At 38.8% G+C, this 3,460-nt stretch overlaps 1 pseudogene; it reads right to left on the reverse strand.

Annotated features, from left to right (window-relative positions):
- SERBP1P2 (SERPINE1 mRNA binding protein 1 pseudogene 2) lies at window positions 552-2,476 on the reverse strand (annotated as a pseudogene).

Genomic DNA, 3,460 nt, shown 5'->3' on the forward strand with positions numbered 1-3,460 from the left:
CCATCAATTGATGAATGGATAAAGTAATAGTGGTACATATACACAATGGAGTATCATTCAGCCATAACAAAGAATGAGATCTTGTCATTTGCAACAACATCTATGGAACTGGAGATCATTATGTTAAGTGAAATAAGCCAGGCACAGAAAGACAAACATCGCAAATTCTCATTTATTTGTGGGATATAAAAATCAAAACAATTGAAATCATGGAGACAGACAGTAAAAGGATGATTACCAGGGACTGGGAAGGGTAGTAGGGATTGGTGGTGGAGGGAAGTGGCGATGGTTAATGGGTACAAAAAATAGAAAGAATGAATAATGCCTTGTATTAGATAGAACAACAGAGTGTCCATAGTAAAAATAATCTAATTATACATTTTAAAAATAAAGAGCATAATTGGTTTGTTTGTAATACAAAGGATAAATGTTTGAGGTGACGGATATCCCATATACTTTGATGTGAATATTTCATGTTGCATGCCTGTATCAAAATATCTCATGTATCCCATAAATATGCACACCTACTATGTATCCACAAAAAAATTTAAAATAAAAAAACATAAATGAAGTGAAAGCTTTAAACTAGTATACACATTTCACACCTATATTTCAAGCTTGGAAATGCAAATTTGCAAGCAGCAATACAAAAGTATTCATGAAGAATGCATAATTTCTGGTATTTATAAAAACATACCTACCAATACATTTTTAAATACAAAACTGACTACCATATTTGTTAATTTTATGTAGTGAGAGAAGTTCATTTTTTTTTTTTTTTAAGACGGAGTCTCGCTCTGTCGCCCAGGCTGGAGTGCAGTGGCGCAATCTTGGCTGACTGCAAGCTCCGCCTCCCGGGTTCACGCCATTCTCCTGCCTCAGCCTGCCGAGTAGCTGGGACTACAGGCACCCGCCACCACGCCCGGCTAATTTTTTGTATTTTTAGTACAGACGGAATTTCACCGCGTTAACCAAGATGGTCTCAATCTCCTGACCTCGTAATCTGCCCGCCTTGGTCTCCCAAAGTGCTGGGATCACAGGCGTGAGCCACCGCGCCGGCCGAGAAGTTCATTTTTAAAACAGATACAATTCAGTCTTTAAGTGTGAATTGTGTGAATGACAGCCTTTTTAAAACATGATTTCTTCATTGTTTCGAATCCTTACGCATGCAAAGGCATTGAACAGGAAATCCCACAAAGGAACCATGGTTGTTTTATGGCATTCAGTTAAGCCAGAGCTGGAAATGCCTCTGGGTCATCCATATCAGGAACAGAAGCACCTGACTTGTCAGTCCTGCTGCTGAGGTTCTGAGGTCCACCACACATTCACCTTGTCTTCCCCTCCCACCAAGTCCTCCAGGGCCGAGGTCTCCAAAATTGATCTCCCGCTGAGACATTTTATCATTTGCTGGCTTTCAGAAACGATGGTCCTTAATGACAAGTTCAGCATGAATCTCTTTACTCTTTGATTTATGAAGCGCACATCTCTTCTTCCAGTGCCCATCAATCAGTACCTTTGTTTTGTTTTTGGATATTAAATTCTACTTTTGGCCAGTCCTTATTTTGAATAGCATTCCACTTATCCAAAGTCATCTCTTTTGGACCCTCTTTTTTACCTCTTAAACTTCCTTCTCCTTATTTTCAGTGTCTGCCACTGGAAGTTCTTCACCTTCAGGTGTTTCCTAGGTCATATTTGATTAATCCAAGTCAGTTAACTTATCATTCACAGTTCCCCAGTTGTAAAATCCACTACCTCCATGTTTGTCCTTGTGCTTCAGGCTAGATCTATGCCTTCCAGCATGCCTACCAGCATGCCTATCAAATTCACATTTACCATAAAAATAAAATCCATACCCTTGGCCCATTTCACTTTGACAGCCCTCTCTACTTCTTCCAAGGCCACCACAGCCTCGAATGGGTTGGTCAATGATAGGTCTATCAGATAAAATTTTCCTCTTTCACCCTTTTCAAGTGGTTTTTCAAATCTTCCTTCATGAGGTGGTTGCCCTTCCCCGTCTTATCTCAATTATTTTCCCTTCACCTTGCAGTTGTTGATTGGGTCTTCTTCCAATTCACCTTATTCCTTCTTTCTTAACCTCCATGGGCACTATATGTCCTCTTGCCAACCATGCCAACTTTTGGGGCAAGTGGGTTCTTGCTGTCTTTCTGAGACTCTTTATACAACTGTTTGTCCGTGGCATTGGAGTTGGTCTGGGCCATGGCCTGAGATGAGCTTTTGGCCCCAGCTCCCCCAGTGACACCCCCGTTGGCTTATTTTCTCTAGTTCTCAGCTGCCTTCAGCACCTTGAATGGGTCCAATTCGTCTTCAAAGAACTGGTTAAATGGGCTGATGACCATGCAGGTGAAGCATTCCTGTAAATGGCCAGGCATAATGGTGGCTCAGAGGCATGTTCCTCAATGGATTGCAGCTGGCTGTGCAGAAGCAAGATCACCTTCTTCAGTTCTTCCCACAAGATCTTATGACACTTTAGATTTTGGCTTCATAATTTATGGTGAGAAATCCACTATCATTAGGATATTGGTATTCTCCTAACAGCAATGCATCATTTTTCTCTAGCTGCTTTCCGTATTTAATATTGTCTTTAGTTTTCAGAAATTTAATTATGATATGTGAATTTCTTTGAGTTTATCTAATTAAAGTACATTCATATTATTGAATCTCCGAATTACTGTTTTGCACCAAGTTGGGATGTTTTAAACTATTATTTCCCTATATAGTCTTTCAACCCTTCTCTCTTGTTGGGCTACAAAGATGCAAATCATTATATATTTTGGCTCTCTAAAAAAAAAAAAATCTGTTTCCTCTCTTGTTCAGAGTGGGTGAATGCTGTTGATCTATCCTAAAGTTCAGTGACTTCTTTCTCTTAGAGTTCATTCAAGCTTTTTTTTCTGTTAATGTATTTTTCTAAAATTTCCATTTTTTATAACTCATTTCATTTCAAAATATTCTATTTTCCATTTGTTTCAGGAGACTTTGTAATGCACTGCTGAAATATTTTTATGATGTGTGCTTTGAAATCCTTGTTAGATAATTCGACGATTAACAACATCTGATTTGTCTCAATGTTGGCATCAGTTGATTGTTTCCTCTCATTTAAGTTGTGATTTTCTTTATTCTTAGTGTGACCAGTGATTTTCAACTGTATCCTGAATATTTCTTCTATTATTCCAGCAGATTCTGGGTCTATTTGTATGTTTAATTTCATCAGATCTTCATTCTGTTTATAGTCAGCATGCAGATTCTGGTCTACTTTTCTGGACTGTGGTTTCTATGACAGTATATTTTCAGAGGCTTTGTTGTGTTATTTTGTTTTTTTCAGTTTATGTGATACTTATCTCCTACTTGTCCATGACAGCAATGGCTATAGTTGCAGAAGGGATTTTCCTTGGCCAGTGTCTTTCCATGGGAAAAGGGAGTCCCAGGTACCCTGAGATGAAGA

The sequence above is a fragment of the Homo sapiens genome, chromosome Y (genome assembly GCF_000001405.40).
Source record: "Homo sapiens chromosome Y, GRCh38.p14 Primary Assembly".
NCBI lineage: Eukaryota > Metazoa > Chordata > Mammalia > Primates > Hominidae > Homo > Homo sapiens.